The sequence below is a fragment of the Homo sapiens genome, chromosome 13, assembly GCF_000001405.40.
Source record: "Homo sapiens chromosome 13, GRCh38.p14 Primary Assembly".
In the NCBI taxonomy this organism is placed as follows: domain Eukaryota; kingdom Metazoa; phylum Chordata; class Mammalia; order Primates; family Hominidae; genus Homo; species Homo sapiens.
In genome coordinates this window covers 94305893-94324342 of record NC_000013.11, presented here as the reverse complement: position 1 = coordinate 94324342, position 18450 = coordinate 94305893, and the positions used below count along the sequence as shown (strand labels likewise).

At 38.2% G+C, this 18450-nt stretch overlaps 1 protein-coding gene across 4 annotated transcripts in view, besides 1 other annotated feature; it reads right to left on the bottom strand.

Moving 5' to 3' along the window:
• Nucleotides 1-18450, bottom strand: part of GPC6 (glypican 6) — a 1191492-nt gene that overhangs the window by 83678 nt on the left and 1089364 nt on the right. For all 4 annotated transcript variants that reach the window (XM_047429990.1, NM_005708.5, XM_017020300.2 and 1 more), the window contains one exon: nucleotides 18220-18363. In XM_047429990.1, the coding sequence (XP_047285946.1) occupies nucleotides 18220-18363 (144 nt within the window). The remainder of the gene's footprint in view (nucleotides 1-18219; nucleotides 18364-18450) is intronic.
• Nucleotides 11515-12084: an enhancer, noted in NCBI's record as "NANOG hESC enhancer chr13:94964513-94965082 (GRCh37/hg19 assembly coordinates)". NCBI's record gives its function as "activates a minimal SCP1, AML or CMV promoter by ChIP-STARR-seq in naive H9 embryonic stem cells {active_cell/tissue: H9 hESC(naive)}" and the evidence as "EXISTENCE:reporter gene assay evidence [ECO:0000049][PMID:30033119]".

The window sequence follows — 18450 nt, the reverse complement described above, 5'->3', positions numbered from 1 at the left end:
GTCTGGCTTGAGTTTTTTTTTTTTTTTTTTTAAGGCTTTCATAGATGGTCCTCGGTGGTGACCTGAGGCCACAGGCATGTACGCTGCTCTCAGAAATCAGTCACTGGAGAGGCCATGGGTCCCCTGCCTCTCTGTGTGCCATCATTCCTCTAGGTTATTTTCATCCACCATTTAGCTGCATCCTTCCCAAATACCTTCATGTAACTTGAATCTCTTATCAGCTTCCCAAATGTTCACCCTGGGACTTTTCATTGTCATCTTGCTATGTGGCTGTAACTTGGAGAGAAGCTCCAGTGTTAACTTTATTCGACAACAATGCCGGAAGCCAGCATTAGCTTGCAGTTCTCTTCTAGTCCTCAGCGACTAGTCCTAAATGTGCCGAGAAAAGCTTTATTTAGTAGCTTTAGCTCATCTTAAATGCTGCAGCAGGAAGCCATATCAGCCACTTCCTGTAAAGACTAGGGCTGGGGCAAGGGTGTTTACCTACAGGCTTTGAGTTGAAGAGTCACTGAATAAATGAAAAATCTTTTAAAAAATCTACTTGAAATCCTATCGAATAATTTAAATCTTTGTACTTAAATGTTCTTGAGATTTTTCTATTTGTATAAGTTTAAAGGGTTCAAGTGCAATCTTGTTACATGAATACATTGCATAGTGATGAAATCTGGGTTTTCAGTGTAATTATGCCATGAATATTGTACATTGTATTGCACCCATTATATTCTCATCTCTTGGCACCCTCCCACCCTCCTACCCTTTCCCTCCAGTGCCTATTACTCCACACTTTATGTCCATATGCACACGTTATTTAGCTCCCATTTAGAAGTGAGAATATGTGGCATTTGACTTTGTATTTATTAATATGATTAATAAGAATAACAGCTAAGCTTAATCTATGATTGTTATTGCTATTATTATCACTGGTGTTAAGAATATCTAGGCTGAGTACAGACAATGGCTGAGCTAGGAGCTTTATGCACATTGGCTTCTATCATCATTACAAATAAGATTTTACAGATCCGAAAATGAGATGAGATTAGGTAATTAGCACACAATCACATAGTCAGGATTTTGAACTTGGCTTGTGTGCTTGCAAAGCTTTGAATTTGGCATTTATGCTGTGCCATGTGCAAATTAAAAGGGGCTGTGCATCTGGTGGGCTGGGGCAGGCTCCGCTCAGGGGTTGGGAGGGATGAGAAGAGGAAGTTAAGGGAGCCACATCCCTAGACTGTGTGGAGCCGGCTTCTTTCGCAATCCCGTCATCCTCATTTGGACCACATGGATGCAGGTTTTATGAGGCTGTTCTTTTCTCTCTCTACCTTCACTTGCTCCCTGTCTGTCTGAGGCAGGGAATAAATGCATGAATAAATAAATGAAACAAAATACACATGTGTGCCAGACCAGTCTATCTAGCTGCTATATACTAGATGCTTCACTAGCCCATCAGGTCCAGAGTTTTGGCCTGGGCAGACTTCTGGGTGGTCTGAAGGAGAAACTGCCAATTTCAGAGTTTAGTTCACTCTGGTTCTGCAACCCACAGCAGAACCGCACCGTGTGACCAACCCTGCTGCTTTTGTGGAGCCTAGCACCTGAGGCTGCCACAAATATGGCCAATTTTGTATCTCCATCTAAAAAGTGCTTTTCTTTTAAGAAAAATAGAATGCACATATTATTTTTGTTTTCTTATTTTTTAATTTCTATTTTTATTAAATTAAAAATCTATTTTTTATTACTATTGCTATTATTATAAAGCAAATTCCATAAAAGGGATATTTTAACTGGGCTGAAAACAGTAATCACCGCAGTCTGGAGCATAATATTCCACAATAGCAATTGATTAAGTAGTTGTACGAGACACACTGCCCATGAAAGGTATTCTGTAAAGACTCCCCCTGCCCCAGGCATTCCAGGGATTTGTCTAGTCCTGGTACCTCTTCTCTGCCTGATTGGCCTGGGTAGGTGTAGTCGTCTGCTTTCACACTGCTGCTAAGACATACCTGAGACTGGGTAATTTATAAAGAAAAAGAGGCTTAATGGACTCACAGTTCCACGTGACTGGGGAGGCCTCACAATCATGGTGGAAGGTGAAAGACATGTCTTACATGGTGGCAGACAAGAGAGAATGTGAGCCAAGCAAAAGGGGAAACCTCTTATAAAACCATCAGATCTCATGAGACTTCCTCACAGTCTCGTGAACAGTATGGGGGAAACTGCCCCCATGATTCAATTATCTCTCACCGGGTCCCTCCCACAACACGTGGGAATTATGGGAGCTACAATTCAGATGAAATTTGGGTGGAGATACAGCAAAACCATATCAGTTGGTAAGTAATGTACGAAGGAGAATCTTTCTAGGTGCCAGCAAGGAGAAAAAATAAAGGATGTACCTGAGTTTGCCTCTCTGAAGGTCAGTGTTTACGGATATAGGTGACATCTTTTAGTGAAAATAGTTCATGAAAGAAGCCCAACAGTAAGGGTTCTGGAGAAGTTTGCAGCACCAAGAGCTTAGGTATTGGAGTGAAACTATGTGGTGCCTAGGGTCCATAGGCTCAGGCCTGGGGAGCTCTGGGGCTGCTGAGATGGGCTATTGCCTTTGTGGACTGGAAGTTTAGGGCTGAACCTGGAACAATATTAACCAATAGTACCAACTACCACATGGCCCAATGAAATAGGGCTTCCTAGAATATTTATCAGAAACAGAGAACTCAAAAAATAACCGTTCCAATGCTCTGCTCTAAAATGGTATGACGTGCCACCAAGTCAAATGATGCTGGTGAGGTTGTGGAGAAAAGGGGATGTTAATACATTGCAGGTGGGAGTGTAAATTAGTTTAGCCATTATGAAAAGCAGCGTGGCAATTTCTCAAAGAATTCAAAGCAGAATTACCATTTGACCCAGCAATCCCATTACTAGGTATGTTCCCAAAGGAATACAAATCATTCTACCACAAAGACACATGTACATGTATGTTCATCGCAGCAAAATTCATAATAGCAAAGGCATGGAATCAACCTACATGTCCATCAGTGGTAGAACGGATAAAGAAAATGTGGTACATATACACCATGAAATACTACGCAGCCATAAACAATGAGGTCATGTATTTTGCAGCTACATGGATAGAACTGGAGGCCACTATCTGTTCCTATCCTAACACAGGAACAGAAAATCAAATACTACATGTTCTCACTTATAAGTGGGCAGTAAATGACGAAAACACATGGACACAAAAGAGAGGAACAAAAGACACCAGGGTCTACTTGATGGGGGCGAGATGGAGGAAGGCGAAGATAGAAACACTACCTATTAGCTACTAGGGTTATTATCTGGTTGGCGAAATAATCTGTACACTAAACCTTTGTGACATGCAATTTACCTATATAACAAACCTGCATGTGTACCCCTGAATCTAAAATAAAAGTTTAAAAAACAATCTTAACTCAGAGTTGGTGAAGGAAGTTACCTTGTACATGCCTCCATGTGTATTTTCCTGCACATTTCCTAAAATCAGCTAACACTGCAACATGAAATAGAGCATGTAGGAGTCAACAAGTTGGCAAGAAAGTAACAAACTTTCAAAGGCTCCAAACTAAGTGAAAATGGGGACCCAGAAAAGAAAACAAGAGTACTAAGAATGGATTTGGTCCAAAGGACATTCCTCAGACCCAGATGACCTTAAGCCTTGATGGCCTCAGATTTGCAGGGTGGGCAAGGACAGGAGAGTAAAATACAGGGCTTCCCTAAAGTGACGAGCCAGTATCACTAACCCACCACATACAGCCGGGGTTCCCAAGGGAAAATCCTTAGGATAAGATGAAATAGAAATACCTTTCAACACAGGCCACCCAGACTTTCCATTGATTAATTTCCAAGGAATATAAACTCACACAAAAAAAACCCACAACAGAAACCAAGAAAACATGACATCTATAAGGAAATAAAGCACCATTTGTAAGAAACTGCAGAAATACCAGATGAGACCAGCAAACTCTTCAGATATTAGAATATCAGACACAAAGTAAAAAATAACATGTTTAAAATGGAAAAGGTAGAATTTAGAAATGTGATGAGGAGGCGGATACTATTGAACACAGGACCAAGCATATCTGAAAATTAATTCATTAAGTACTAGAAAAATAAAATCATTGACGTTAAAAACTAAGTGGCTGGGTTTAATGCCAAATAAAATAATTTAATTAGCTGTTTAATAAACCTGAGAGACTAAATCAACTGAGAAGTAAATACATTATTACCAGCTAAATACATTATTCTGAATGTGGCAAGAAAGAAAGAAAGGTTAAGAGATGTGGAGGATGGAGTGAGACAGTCTCACATGTCCAGTCAGTTATTGGATGAGTAGAGAAAGAGAGTGAAAGACGGTGAAGCAATATTTGAAGACATAATGGCTTAGAATTTTCCAGAACAATCAAAGAAACCAATCATGAAATTCAGGAAGCCCAATACATCCTAAGCAAAATTAATAAAAAAAGAAATCTATACCTACACATTATGACGAAATTATATAACAACAAAGGAGACCCTAAAAGCAGCTTGAAAGAAAATACAGATTACTTAAAAGGGAGAACTGATAGCAAACTTCTCAACAGCAGCAGTGGAAACCAGGAGATAGTGAAATATAAGCATCAGTGCACCTGGAGAAAATAACTGTTGACCTAGAATTACAGTTCAGCACAAATGTCTTTCAAGAATGAGGGCAAAAAGACATTTTCAAATAAAACTCTCAGTAAAGGAAAACTTATAATGTGTATTCCAGACCAAGGAAGTCACTCTGATGGATGGTTTTACGCAAAAGGAATGATAACCAAAGAAAGTGGTAAAATGTGGTTGATTGTATATTAAAAGTTCCAGTATAAAATGGTAATAACAATCTTAACTTTTGTTTTGTGTAAAACACACACAACATAAGACAGAACGAAATTATCCCATAATAACAGCATATAAGTTGGGAGGAGAATTATCAGAATTAAGGTGTTCTAAGGTCCTCTTGTATTGTTACAAAAGAGGGAAAGGTATTGATGTATTAATTAAACTTGGACTTTGATAAGTTAGGATGCATGTTAAAATTTCAAGGGTAATTATTAGAAGAATAAAAACTACAGTATTAGGTTCCAAACACTAAAAGAAAAAGAGTGAAGTAAGAAAATATCCTCAATTGACCCACAAGAAAGAAGAAGAAAAAGAAGACTAAAAAGATGAGACAAATAGAAATCACAAAATGAGATGGAAGAAATAAATATCAATATTTCTAGTACATTTAGGTGAACTAAGTGTTCCAATTGAAATAAAAAGATTGTTATTCTGGATTTTAAAATAAATCTAGCTATGTGATGTTTATAAGAGACACATTTAAAACATAAGGGTTCAGAAATGTTGAAAGTAAAATGAAAAAAGATATTTCAGTTAAATATTTTTAAAAATTTGGTGTAACTACATTAATATTGGAAAGAAAGAGACTTTAAGGCAGCAGTTAGTAGAGAAAGGAAATCACTATATATACTGATAAAGCTCAATTCACAAGAAAAGTTTTAACTATAAATATAGATGTGAAATATATACATCATCCATAAACATTTGTTTCTAGAATTTTCCATTTAATATTTTCAGACTGCAGCTGACCATGAGTAACTGAAACCACAGCTTTCTGTGGTTTCAAATGCAGTTCAAAAATATTAAATGGACAATTCTAGAAACAAACCATTCACAAGTTTTACACTGTGCACCATTCTGAGTAGTGTGATGAAATCTCATGCTATCCTGCCCTGCCTCTTCTTAATTGCAAGAAGGGTGAGTATTACACAATAAGATATTTAGAGAGCGCACGCACGAGAGATGATATTCAATAACTTTTATTACAGTGTGTTATAACTGTCCTATTTTATTATTAGTTATTGTTAATTTCTCCCTGTGCCTAATTTATAAATGAAACTTTATCATAGGTATGTATGTATAGGAAAAAAACAGTATATATAGGGTTTGGTACTATGGGTGGTTTCAGGCATGCACTGGGGGTCTTGGAACATAGCCTCCATGGATAAAGGGGAGCTACTGCAAAACAAAGAAAAATAGGTCTACTCGCATAGTGAAAATCTCTCTTTCAGTAATTGATAGAGCAAACAGATAAGACAAAAATCAGTAAAAATACATAAGATTTGGGGCCTGTTCTGGAAAGGATACTCTTATCTTCTTCCCTCTACTCTTCCATGAAGCCGAGAGCGGTGCCAATTCATGTGTGCCATTAGGAGCTATTGGAAGCTGCTACTCACATTTTGTTCACAACAACTGAGTGTTCCTGAATTTTAAAAAGTAGTGATGAATCACAAACATTTATATAAAAATAGCATTCTTTGGCTACAATTTGGTAAATAATTGTAACAATCTCTGAGTTGTCCACCTATTGTTATTGGGCACAAAGAGTGGAGAGTAATTAAAAAAGAAACACACACACATGCACACACATGCACACACACACTCTCACACTCACATACACTATACCCTTCCTTGTCATACTACGATCCAAGTTATTGAAAGTCAGCTTCTTAAAAAAATTCCTAAATATTGATTTTACTTCTCATTCTCCAAAATCATGGAGAAAGGAAACTTTAAAAAATGATTATACTGTAAAAAGCTTTTAATTTTATTCATTTTGTCAAAAAAAACTTGACAAAAGAGAGCATGAGGATCCTTTCACTTGAGCCCTCACCATTAAAATCCTAATGAAATACTTCTTGTTCCTTGAAGACATTTTGCATAAAGAAGATTTGATTTTCCTGAGTAACTGGAAACATTTTTGTGCAGACATGTCTTGCACTAAAGATAGCCTCTGGGTTTTTGGATTTTATGTGAGTAGATCAATTAGGGCAGTTTGCTGCCTCTATGTTTTCTTCTCAGAGCTCTTCTGGACGCTTTGTGTTTACCCTTTTGTTCTAGCATTCAAGGAGCTGCAAAGAACAAGCAAAGGAAATGCTTAGCTTTTTCAAGTACAGAGATGAGTGTTTTTCACAGAAATGAATGCTGGCTGCTTTGGGGAGTTTTCTGAGGTCAAAATCCCTTAGAATAAAATTTACAAAGTCATTGGTTTCCTGCCTCATCATGCATAAATAATTTATGAATTTGTATTCTAAGTTTTCTTCCAGCTGAATCAAAGCTCTACAATTTTGCAAATAATTCCACGCAGAAGCCAATGACACACACATTCCTGAGACTATCACTGACATGGATAAGTTTGCTGTTGCTGTCAGCCAGTGCAATTTCCCTGATTAACCTGTAAAAAGTGTTCTCCTTCGATGAAGGCTGTTCAGAAATTAACTGATATTGTACAAGAAGACAACAGCAGGTTCCAGAATGTGAATTCTTGGTGATTTTAAATGATGATGTATGAAAGAGACAGAAAGGGAGAACAATTTGATTTGCTGCAGCCAGTTTGGCCCAGAAAGAAAAGCAGAAAAATCGCTTTGCCTAAGCAAACATGACATGAAGTCATACAAGAGCAGCTCTCACAATGTGCAATATCAAAGCCTCATTTAAAATACATATTGTCTGGATCTGAAAGACATCTACATGCCAGTAGTAAAAGGTTTTTGCTCATTCTTTTTTTTTTTTTTTTTTGAGACGGAGTCTCGCTCTGTCGCCCAGGCTGGAGTGCAGTGGCGGGATCTCGGCTCACTGCAAGCTCTGCCTCCCGGGTTCACGCCATTCTCCTGCCTCAGCCTCCCAAGTAGCTGGGACTACAGGCGCCCGCCACTACGCCCGGCTAATTTTTTGTATTTTTAGTAGAGACGGGGTTTCACCGTTTTAGCCGGGATGGTCTCGATCTCCTGACCTCGTGATCCGCCCGCCTCGGCCTCCCAAAGTGCTGGGATTACAGGCGTGAGCCACCGCGCCCGGCCCATTCTGTTTCTTTATTGCCACTTTTCTCCTATTTCTTGGCAACAACTTCTGTATCCTCCTTTGAGACACTGCCTTCAGATTTGGGGTGGGATCCTTTGCTCTGGTTGAATGATGATTGAACTCAAAGTTCAGGTAAGCTCCGTTGGCATCCGATGCTGAAAATCAGCCTGACCGAAAAAGGATGATGGTTTTGTAGGACAATGTAGATACCCCCTCTCTAATAAGAACTTAGATTTCTCCTAGGATTCTAAATTTTTTTTTTTAAGTTAGTTCTTTCAAAAGACCATAGAAGAGTTGGTTCATTTGCAGGGCAATCTTTACAAGAGCATGGTCTGATTTAAATTATAATTATTTTTGCCTGTCATCCTCTAAAGTGGGGGTGTCCAATCTTTTGGCTTCCCTGGGCCGTTTTTTGGAAGAAGAGGAATTGTCTTGGGACACACATAAGATATACTAACACTAAAGATGGCTGATGAGCTAAAAAAAAATCTCATAATGTTTTCAGGATGTTTACGAATTTGTGTTGGGCCGCATTCAAAGCCATCCTGGGCCACATGCAGGCCATGGGCTGTGGGTTGGACAAGTTTGCCCTAAAGTGTTGTGAGTTCTTCGATTATGGTCTAGTCACCTACGCATGGTTCATGTTAGTGCACAATAAATATGGTGAATAAAGGAAAGACTGATTTTTCTGTTCCTTTTCATGTAAGGTTTGTCTTAGGGTTGGAGAAAGTAATGACATGGATTTTTATCAATTTAAAAATCTTGCCTTCATCATAGTGTTTGTGGTCGATAATGTTACTGTTCACTAACATGTCCTTTTTCTCTCTCTATGTGAGGCACATAGGAACATATGTCCCTGACTTCCTGATGGCTTGATAATGTGACTTGCTTTGGCCAATGAGATGTGATCAGTATGATGTGACCCTTCCAGGTAGAGACATGAACAGCCACCTTTGCCACATTCTCCATTTCCCCTGCCATTGTGACAGGTGAACCTCCAGATAATGGCTGCTCTGTCACCCCGGATGCTGGAGTAAGGGTGATGACCACATGTAGCTGACTCACAGCCAATGCATAATGAACACTTGGCACATACAAGAAATAAACTTGTGTTGTTGTGGGCCATTTTGGGGACTGTTTATAGGTGTGGCCTTGCCTGGCCTGGTCCATCTGGATCAATACAGCATAGGAAAAGCTTCTACAGAGATCACACAAACCAACTTCCAACAAATTATTTGTTAGTAAGCAATATAATGGAGCTGCTGCTGGTGGTGGTTCATTCATTGACTATCAACCTGACTTTTTATTTTTCGATAGCTCAGCCAGTGTTATGGGTATAAGAAAATACCCATGAAGTCAGAGCCTTTGATGATAATGACTGTGAATGAACTTAGTAATAAAGTTATTGTGTATTGCAAATAGCTTTCTACCTTTAACAGTTATGAAGGGAAGTCAATTTTCACTCAGATGGGTTCCTTTTCATCTGTTTTTTCTCTACAATGTTTATGTCTGAGGTTTATTGCTAGCAGTAAAGAGTGTCCGAGTATGTTATGGGAATAGCCAAATTCCCAGTCCTTTAAAATGTATTCCATAGGCCCCAGAGTCTGTTAGAAGCTGATTGATTATACAGCAAATACATCAAAACTGGTATTTATGAAATATCCTATTTCTTCAGCTCTATCTCTCATAAGCATGAACATCACATTTGGGAGTTGTGGTGCAAATATCTCAGACAGCTAAGAGAAAATATTGTCGCAGATTTTCCATGACAAGGAAAAGGTTCTTTAATCTATTCAATAATTTAATAAAAGATCTATGTCAACTGATGAGGCTCATGAACAAATATTTTTAAAGGTATGGTTTGAGCAGTTTAGTGTGGCTTGTCTATCCAGACTTCCATAATCAATCTACCAAAACACCAATTACATAGCAGAATAAAGGACAGTTACCGTGAAACGAGTGCGCAGATGGACTTTTGCATCTGACTGGTTCATAACTGACAACAAAGCTTCTGTTTAATTTGTTCAAGGTTTGGGCAGAAAGTTCTGGCTTAAGAAGGGAAAATGAGCTATTAGACATGGCCTATATTAAGGACGCTACAGATGTTTAATGTTTTTAATTTGCATATTTGGCCAATGATTATTCATTTGTTAATATGCCTTCTACATATTCTTTTTTGGCATAGTCAATCTGAGATTGCAAAATCAAACTCCCACTTATTGTATGCTAATATTAATATTCCATGAGCCTCTATACTATGTACTGTTCTCTGGAGAAGACATAGCATGTCTAACTGACTTGGAAAGTAACGGCTTTTCTAAACAGTCACTTGCCTTTTGATGACGCCAGCACTAACAACATGCTATAATGTAGATTGTACATAGCAGCTAGTTTTACTAAGTGCTATGCAACAGAGAATAACTCAATCAATAATTTATTGATAGATTGATATCTACCGAATGCATCAATTTGGGTTTAGCTGAAGTCTAGGAATTCTGAAAGAAATTTTAAAGCCTGAAGCAGAAAATAAGCATATCAACATGCCATAAAATAGATATAAAATCTCTAATAGCCCTATTTTGGCTCTGAAAGTGTAACATTTCATTTTTTATGATACAGAGGTCACCAAAGCTCTTGCTTAAGTGTTTCTGAGGATAAAGGAGAGTTTAATCCAGAGTTGAAAAGAGTTTTGTTAACAAATCGCCCCCAATATGATTTAATATAACTCACACTTAATATTAAGTTGTGCAAAATTGTTCCCCTTCCAAAACATGTTGCATAACATTATTTCGTTGTCAGAATCCATATGATTCTCTGAACATGTCTTAAAGCAGTGATGTGGACTGGGCTTTAGTATCTCCCAGGGAGTTACGTAGCCAGAGTGAGTGTACTCTTCCTTCTCCCCAGGGTATACAGCCCTGTGCAATTAAACACAACTTTGCCAGGACTGAAAGAGAGGTCTATGTGCCTTCTATTTTCACTATTCTTACACATGCCCAAAAGAATAGCTTCTCAGGGATGTAAAAATAGTTCACTGCCCATTGGGTGTGAACTGAAAAATCCACATAAGGGCAGGAGTTCCATCCAGGTTTCCAACAGTGCATACCATTGAATTAGATTCGTGCATCCTTCCACTCCATGGAATAAGCAGAATATCCTGGAGATAAGCCATCATTTTATATATGTGTCTTATGATGTTCCCCACTTGGGCCTTATCAATCACAGCCTCCTAAATGGAAAGAAGCCTGTGACAGGCGGCTCTCTCTGCTACCACATGCTGCTGATGTTGCCCGGAGAAGAGCAGAAACCGAGACAGAATACGTTGGGTGGTTTGGTTTTAACGTTTTTTTATTTTCTCCCTGCTTTGAAAGCTCACTGCATTTTGCTGCTGTTATTACCAAGGGTTCATTGAAAATGAAACTGGGGTGTCTCAGTGGGGTTTCGCAGCAAATAGATAAAGCAGGTTCAGGCAAGACCGGGTCGTTCACAACCTGAAGTGGATGAAGCAGTAGCCATTTGTTTGCTGGGGTGAATGGGACATAATTTATTCAGCTGCAGCGGAGGCTGAAAGCCAATCTGGCCTTGACCCATTTATCTTTAGAAAACTAATTAAAGTGGAGAATCTAGCTTACTGTTGTTATTGAGGTTTTACTTTTTTTGTTCAGGCCAAGCGAAGACTGAGGGTGAGTGCATGTGTGTGTGTGTGTGTGTGTGCGTGCGCGTGTGCGTGTGTGTCTTCGTGTGTGTCTGTGTTGGGGTGGAAGGTGGGAAATATCAGTTTCACCTAAACACAGTGGCTGAAGGTCTAGATAATAAAGCAGTTTCTTAAGCACAGCCTGACATCCTTTTGAAATGCAAACTAGTGGATTTAGCTGGGTGCAGAATCCTTTGAGGTGACAATGAAATGCCATGGCAATTTAAAATGAACAACAGACAGTTTCCTGATTTCTTATAACCAACAGTTTCTAAATCGCACCAAAACAGCCCCAAAGAGGCATGGAAGAACATTTTTATCACCAGCATTTTACTGAAACTGGTACTAACCATCAGGCAGGAAATAATGCCAGAATGTTAGCTGCTTTGTCCATTTTGTTTCAGAACAATTAAAAAAGTTGCATATCTTGATGATCTTTTGTAAGTACTTAAATATGTATGTAATAATATTAACAACATGTTTGTCACCAGTGACCTACCGATGAATTTCAAAAGTTACAGTGTATTTTTGGAAGATTCATATACAAAACAGACATCTGGTTTTTGTGTTGTTTGTTTGTTTTGGCCTAGATAAGGTTATAGGGACAAGTAGGGAAGTCCAGCAGACACACAGGGATGTTATGATATGTATTCATTCCAGTATGTTCAAGGAAGTGATAACTCTTCAGGAAAGCTACAAGGGTCATGATAACTATTAGATAAGGAAACTGAACTGGACCAGCTGCAGGAAAACCTGGAGCTCCCAAGAGATTGTGTTGGAAAGGGCAGACACTACTGACTTAACTGAAGCCACTTTAGTTATCAATGGGACCAATCGAACAGAACCCTGACTTGTCCCACCCATGATGTTTTCCCCTCCCCTTTCCCTCTTAGTGTCAGGAGCCCTTGAGCTATTTGTCTTCCCTGTCCCCTTCTCAAGGTCTTCCTTTCTGCAGCGTTCCTGTTCCAGATTTACCTCCTAACTTTCTTCACCCAAATTGCCCTGGTCTCAGGGCATATGGATATGGGCATATGATCTCAGGAATAATGAATGGGGATAGTACTCAGGGGACAATTTCTTTTTAAAAACATGATTTCAAAGAAGGGATTTTAGACATTGTGTTATCACTGCCTGGATTTAAGGCCAAACAGTTAACACTATGATGTCACAGGTGTGCTGCACAAATAAGTATGTGCCCCTCAGGTGAGAGTCACCTTCCTTCCTCAGTCCATGATACCATGTAGAGTGCATGTATTTAAGAAGTGTTATCAGGGCTGGACACAGTGGCTCTCGCCTGTAATCCCAGCACTTTGGGAGGCCCAGACGGATGGATCACTTGATGCCAGAAGTTCAAGACCAGCCTGGAAAACATGGTGAAACTCCGTCTCTACTAAGAATACAAAAATTATCTGGGTGTGGTGGTGTGCACCTGTAATCCCAGCTACTCGGGAGGCCAAGGCAGGTGAATCACTTGAACCTGGGAGGTGGAAGAAGTAAGATTCCATCTCAAAAAAAAAAAAAAGTGTTATTAGCATGCAATGGTATTGTGGAAACCAGATTAGATAACTGATTATTTTGGTTGATATAGTCAAGTAAGATAGCCTGAGTGTTCTTGTCCTCAGCCCCATATTGGGGGTAATCTTTCAAGTAAAAAATATCCAATGTTCCCTCTCCAAATGCTCTGAATGCTCTGAAAGATATCAGGAAATTCAAGTAGAAAACGAAAAGCAAACAACCTATTTTTTAATCCCTTGAATTTTCTATGTCTCAGCTAATGGAAACATTAGCACCTTATGCATGAGGGCTGATGTTGGTTTGTTCTTATTAGCACAAGAAGAAAAAGGCCAATATATTCTAACAGGGAAGAGCTAGTTTTCCAGGCGGACTACGCATCGTCTGAACATTGGGACAGAATTTAAATCAGCCATTCGATGAGCTGGTCTTCCACCAAGATTAGATTGAAAACTTGGCCATTGGAAAAGAATATGAAAATGGTTGTTAACCATAAATCACAAGCAGAGAGGAAATGACTAAACAAGTTGGCTATGTGCAGTATTCAATCCACTCCAGATAATTTGGAAAGGGATAGTGGAGGAGGAATTTCTCAGGGACTCTCCGGAATGACTGTACAAAGACAAATGGGAATGAGAGGAAGAATAAGACCAATGCTTACACTATGCTGCATAGTCCGCCACACAGTCCTCTGGGAAGCAAGAGGAAAACAAATTTAAAGGAAAAAGAAAAAGAGATTATTCTATACATAATAGCACAGAACAGGCACAAAGTTGAGCTTTGTTGGTTGGCATTCCACCCATCCCCACCCCAAATTCCCTCAGAATGACCAGTAGGATATTTGAGAAATCCACATCCACAGTACAGTGTTGAATACTTACTGGAGATTTATGGCTCTAAGTCATCACCAACTTGTTGAGTTAATTTCCAAACCTGGCTTTTTTTTTAAATTTACTTTTATAAAATATATTCCTCTAAGATACACCATGCACAGTCCATTTTTACTCTAATGAATCAGCTGGAATAAAGTAACTGACACTCCCTGTCCAAGTGCGTCTGTGAGCTGTAGAACATGTTGTGCTCTAATTTTCTGAGCTGTACAACTAATTGCCTTTTACAGAGGCTAATTTGAAATACCTTTTGATGCTCAGATCTTAAAAATCGAGCTATTTTGTGCTGATTTATTTTTATACTTGACATTTCCAGTGAATTGGAACCGTCTTTTAAAAAATTATAGTTTCACATCAAATTATGTAAGAGAATTTGCAGAGTACACATTTAAGAATAAAGGAACATAACCAGTCTCTTCCTGAGTACAAACAATAATCTCTGGCCTGTTTGATTGAAAGTCATTAATAGTCAGCTAGGACAGAGGGGCTTCTAAGGGGAGTTTGTTGGTGACAAGAAAGCAACGTGATGGTAGGATGACTCTGTTAACTGAATTACTGCAGTTGATAACATTAGTATCCTCAACAAATCATGGCTGTTGGCGGTAGGGACTGCGATAGACTCAGATGAGTTGGCTTTCCATGAGCAGCTAAATTTATAAAAATACATTCACTCATTCTTGGATAACACAAACCACTTTAGGGTAGTATGTCTGAAAGCTTCTGACTACCTCAACTGCTTCTTATGTGTATATAACTTTAGAGGAGCAAATGGAAATGTTCCCTAGAGATACAAAAGAATTTATAAGTTCCTTATAAATATAATAAGATGTTAAATGATGGAACTGGTGTATTTTTTAAGAGAGAGTTTTGTTTTCAATTATTTTATATAAGGTATAGCAGCAGTTTACTCAGCTTGGGGTTGGTAGTTTTATTTTTAAAACAAACCCCATAACGACCAGTTCACATTAAAAAAATAGCTTTAGAATAACTGATATAAGAACATTTACCAACAGGGCCCAAAGTTATTACCACAGGTACTAATTTAAATGGCACTAAGAAGTAACTCTCCAAGTGCTTTATAGTTATTTTCATTTTGGCAAAAGGGGTGGGGTGATTGGAGTAGTGTTTTGATATCGTCCTTGGAAGCATTTTTCTGCTGAAACACTTCAAGAAATGAAGAGAAATCTTTTCCAATTATCCTCCTTTTCTCAGACACATGCTTCTTATAAATATTCAGGAAACATCTTTTCCAGGGAAAATTAAAACAGGAGTAGGTAATATGAGACTTGTTTATAAACAGCCTAAATAGGCTGTAATGGATGACAGGCCCATCTGGATAGTTTCGCAGTGCATCCTTCTTAAAGATGAGCGTGTTTGACTGTTGGACTGGAGTCTGGCCAAGGATAACTCCCCCAACTTTCCAGTGTTCAGAGCTATATTGGAACCCCAAAGGACGAAGGCCTCAGGAGAGCCAATGGCTGCTGAGACTCTGTTATTAGCTTTGGACCTAACTCGTGTCTCTCAGGAATAACCTCGGTATAGCTCCGTTTGATGCGCAAACAGTGCCTTGTTCTCAGGAGCTGAGCAAAGTGGGCTTATGGCTGGCTGTGCATTACACGTCACTAATTCTTACCATTTGGGAAGGGATCAGAATTTAATAAAAAAATCAGTAAAACTGCAATTTTCACTTACAGAGCCTGAAGCCACACCTTTGAGGAAGTAAATGCTACATGCTGTCTGAGAATGTTTTAGAATAAAATTGGCTTATTGATTTAAATACTTAGGCACAGAGTCTGGTCCTTGGCTTTTACTTGTGATGATACGTTTAACCATTACCAATCATTTTCAGAAAAAGATGGATAAAATATATTTTTGAGGGGTGCAAAAGGTAGAAGATTTTCATTCTGTTTGCTACTTGTCTATACTCTCGAGACCTTTATAGCTAGAGCATTTTGAACATTACCAATAAAGTTCCTTTATAAAAGGTTCAAATCTCAATTTTCATGTCCATCAGATTTTAAACACCAGAGAAAATTCTCGAAGTGTTGATGCTTTACTTAGTTTATGCTAAGCTGCAAAAACATTGTCTTTAGAAACATATTTTTCTTGCTCTACTTCCCCTGTTTAAGGGTGTGTGTTTATTTCTCCCGGGGATGAAGGAAAACGGCTTCTCTGTTTCAGAGGGAAAAAATTAATTAGTTGCCATACATATCATTATATTATTCAAATTCAGTGCAATTTTAACTAAGTGCAAAATGTACCCAGTTCTTTTAAAACTTCTTATTTTATTGTGGTAAGGATACTTAACATGACATCTACCCTCTTAACAGTTTTTTTTTAAGTGAACAATACACTATTGTTAGCTGCAGGCACAATGTAGTACCTCAGATCTTTAGAACTTATTCATCTCACACTGTACTCCTGTTCTTAAATTAGATTTTACAAAAATTCAGAAAAGACTGAATTGTTCCAATAACTAAGTTAGAGCCAGCAAAAATGGGAAAAAAGGGACCAAACCCATACTCACCATTTGTCCTCTGGTTAGAAAGATCTTGATATACAATGCAATTTGTAAAGTAAAATTTAAACAATATAATCTAATGAAAACCATCATTTCTTTAAAACAGCTGACTAGTTATTTGGTGGAATCTAATTGGTTGTTTAAAAGAAAAATGGTGACTATTTTTAAACTTTTCCTGAAACTGCAATAGAGAATAGATGTAAGCCGCTGAGCACGTTGGCTCATGCCTGTAATCCCAGCACTTTGGGAGGTCGAGGCAGGTGGATTGCTTGAGCTCAAGAGTTCGAGACCAGCCTGGACAACATGGCAAAACCACGCCTCTACAAAAAAATAAAAAGCTGGGCATGGTGGTGTATGCCTGTGGTCTCAGCTACTCAGTAAGCTAAGGTAGGAGGATCACTTGAGCCCAGCAGGTCAAGTTTGCAGTGAGCCATGATCATGACACTGCACTCCAGCCTGGGGCAGAGTGAAGCCCCGTCTCAAGGGAAAAAAAAAAGAATAGATATAAGCCAGGTAAAGTAGAAGGTTGCAGCAACTACAAATATCTACACTAGAGAGAAGGTTTTATTTGCTAATAAATGGCAATAAATTTATAACAAAATGTAACAGTTAGTTACCCCTTTATTTTGATACTTCATGGATAGGCCTTTAGGTTGTAAGCACATTTGATTTTTATAGACAGAAATGCTGAGATGTACTTACTTTGAGGCCAAATTCAACCAATATAATCTTATGAGTTCTACACTATAGAAGGATATTAACTAAAATCATAAAGCAATTTATAACAGTGACTAATAAAAGTATTTTCATAACTGGCAGTCTTTGAGATCTAAGTTTATATGACACAGTCAGATGTGGTTCAAGTGCTTTATGACATTAAGGATTTTATCTGTTAATTTTACATCAAGATAATTGGCAAAGCAACATTAATAGCACTAACAATTGTAGGTATATAAAGTGTTTACAGTACTACAAATGGAAGAAATTGAATTAAAAATAATCAGGCAGTATTTCTTTGAAATTATGAGCTTTTTTAAATGGCAAAATTTGGTCTTTAAAACACATTTAAAAATTGTATTTACTATGTTTATGGTTGTATTTTCCGAGTATTATAAACTGCTTTGATGATGGATATCACTAAGTCCCCTGACACACATCTAAACAGCTCAAAGAGTGACTAATTCTAAGGATTCCAACTTTTTAAAGACACATAAAAAAGAAAAAAAAATGATAGTAACATTGATTTGGGGTTTCCGGGCAAGGTCTTTCAAACAGAAAACTTTGCAAATAAGAAGTCATAATAAACTTGCATTATATCATAATTGAATACATAACCATTTTCAGAAAAGAACTGAAGCAGATGAGTAAGAAATGTGCTATTGCAATTATATCTCTGGAAGAACTGGCAACTTAGTTTTCAAATTAATATTTCATGAGAAATAAGAAGTTGAAAATGTGGTCACTGCATACATGCATTAATAGTTTCTTAATGGATTAATAGATTTCTTAAATAATCCAATACATGACCCAAAAGAAAGATCCCATTACTTTTCAATATTCTAATTAAGAACAGAGGCAGATATAAGCATGAGATGACTCTTATAACAAACTTTTCCAGAATCTCCTGGGAGTTTCAAAGAATGACCTTGGTAAAACAAAGCATCCGCCATGGTTATCAATCTGTGAATACTCACCAGCCGGTCCAAGCTTGTGCCTGCAGCAGTTGTTGGTCTTTCCTCAGGATTGTAGGGCCTGAAACGTGTATTAAAATTTTCAGGAGCTGAGCGGGCAGATCTGAGGGCTGGAGCAGGTTTGGGCTGACCACATCCCTGAAAGACCTGGAAGAACCATTGAAAAGTAAAAACAGCTATACAATGAGTTTTCTCCTAAATTCATGAAGCAGAAATGTGCAATGCAATGGTGTC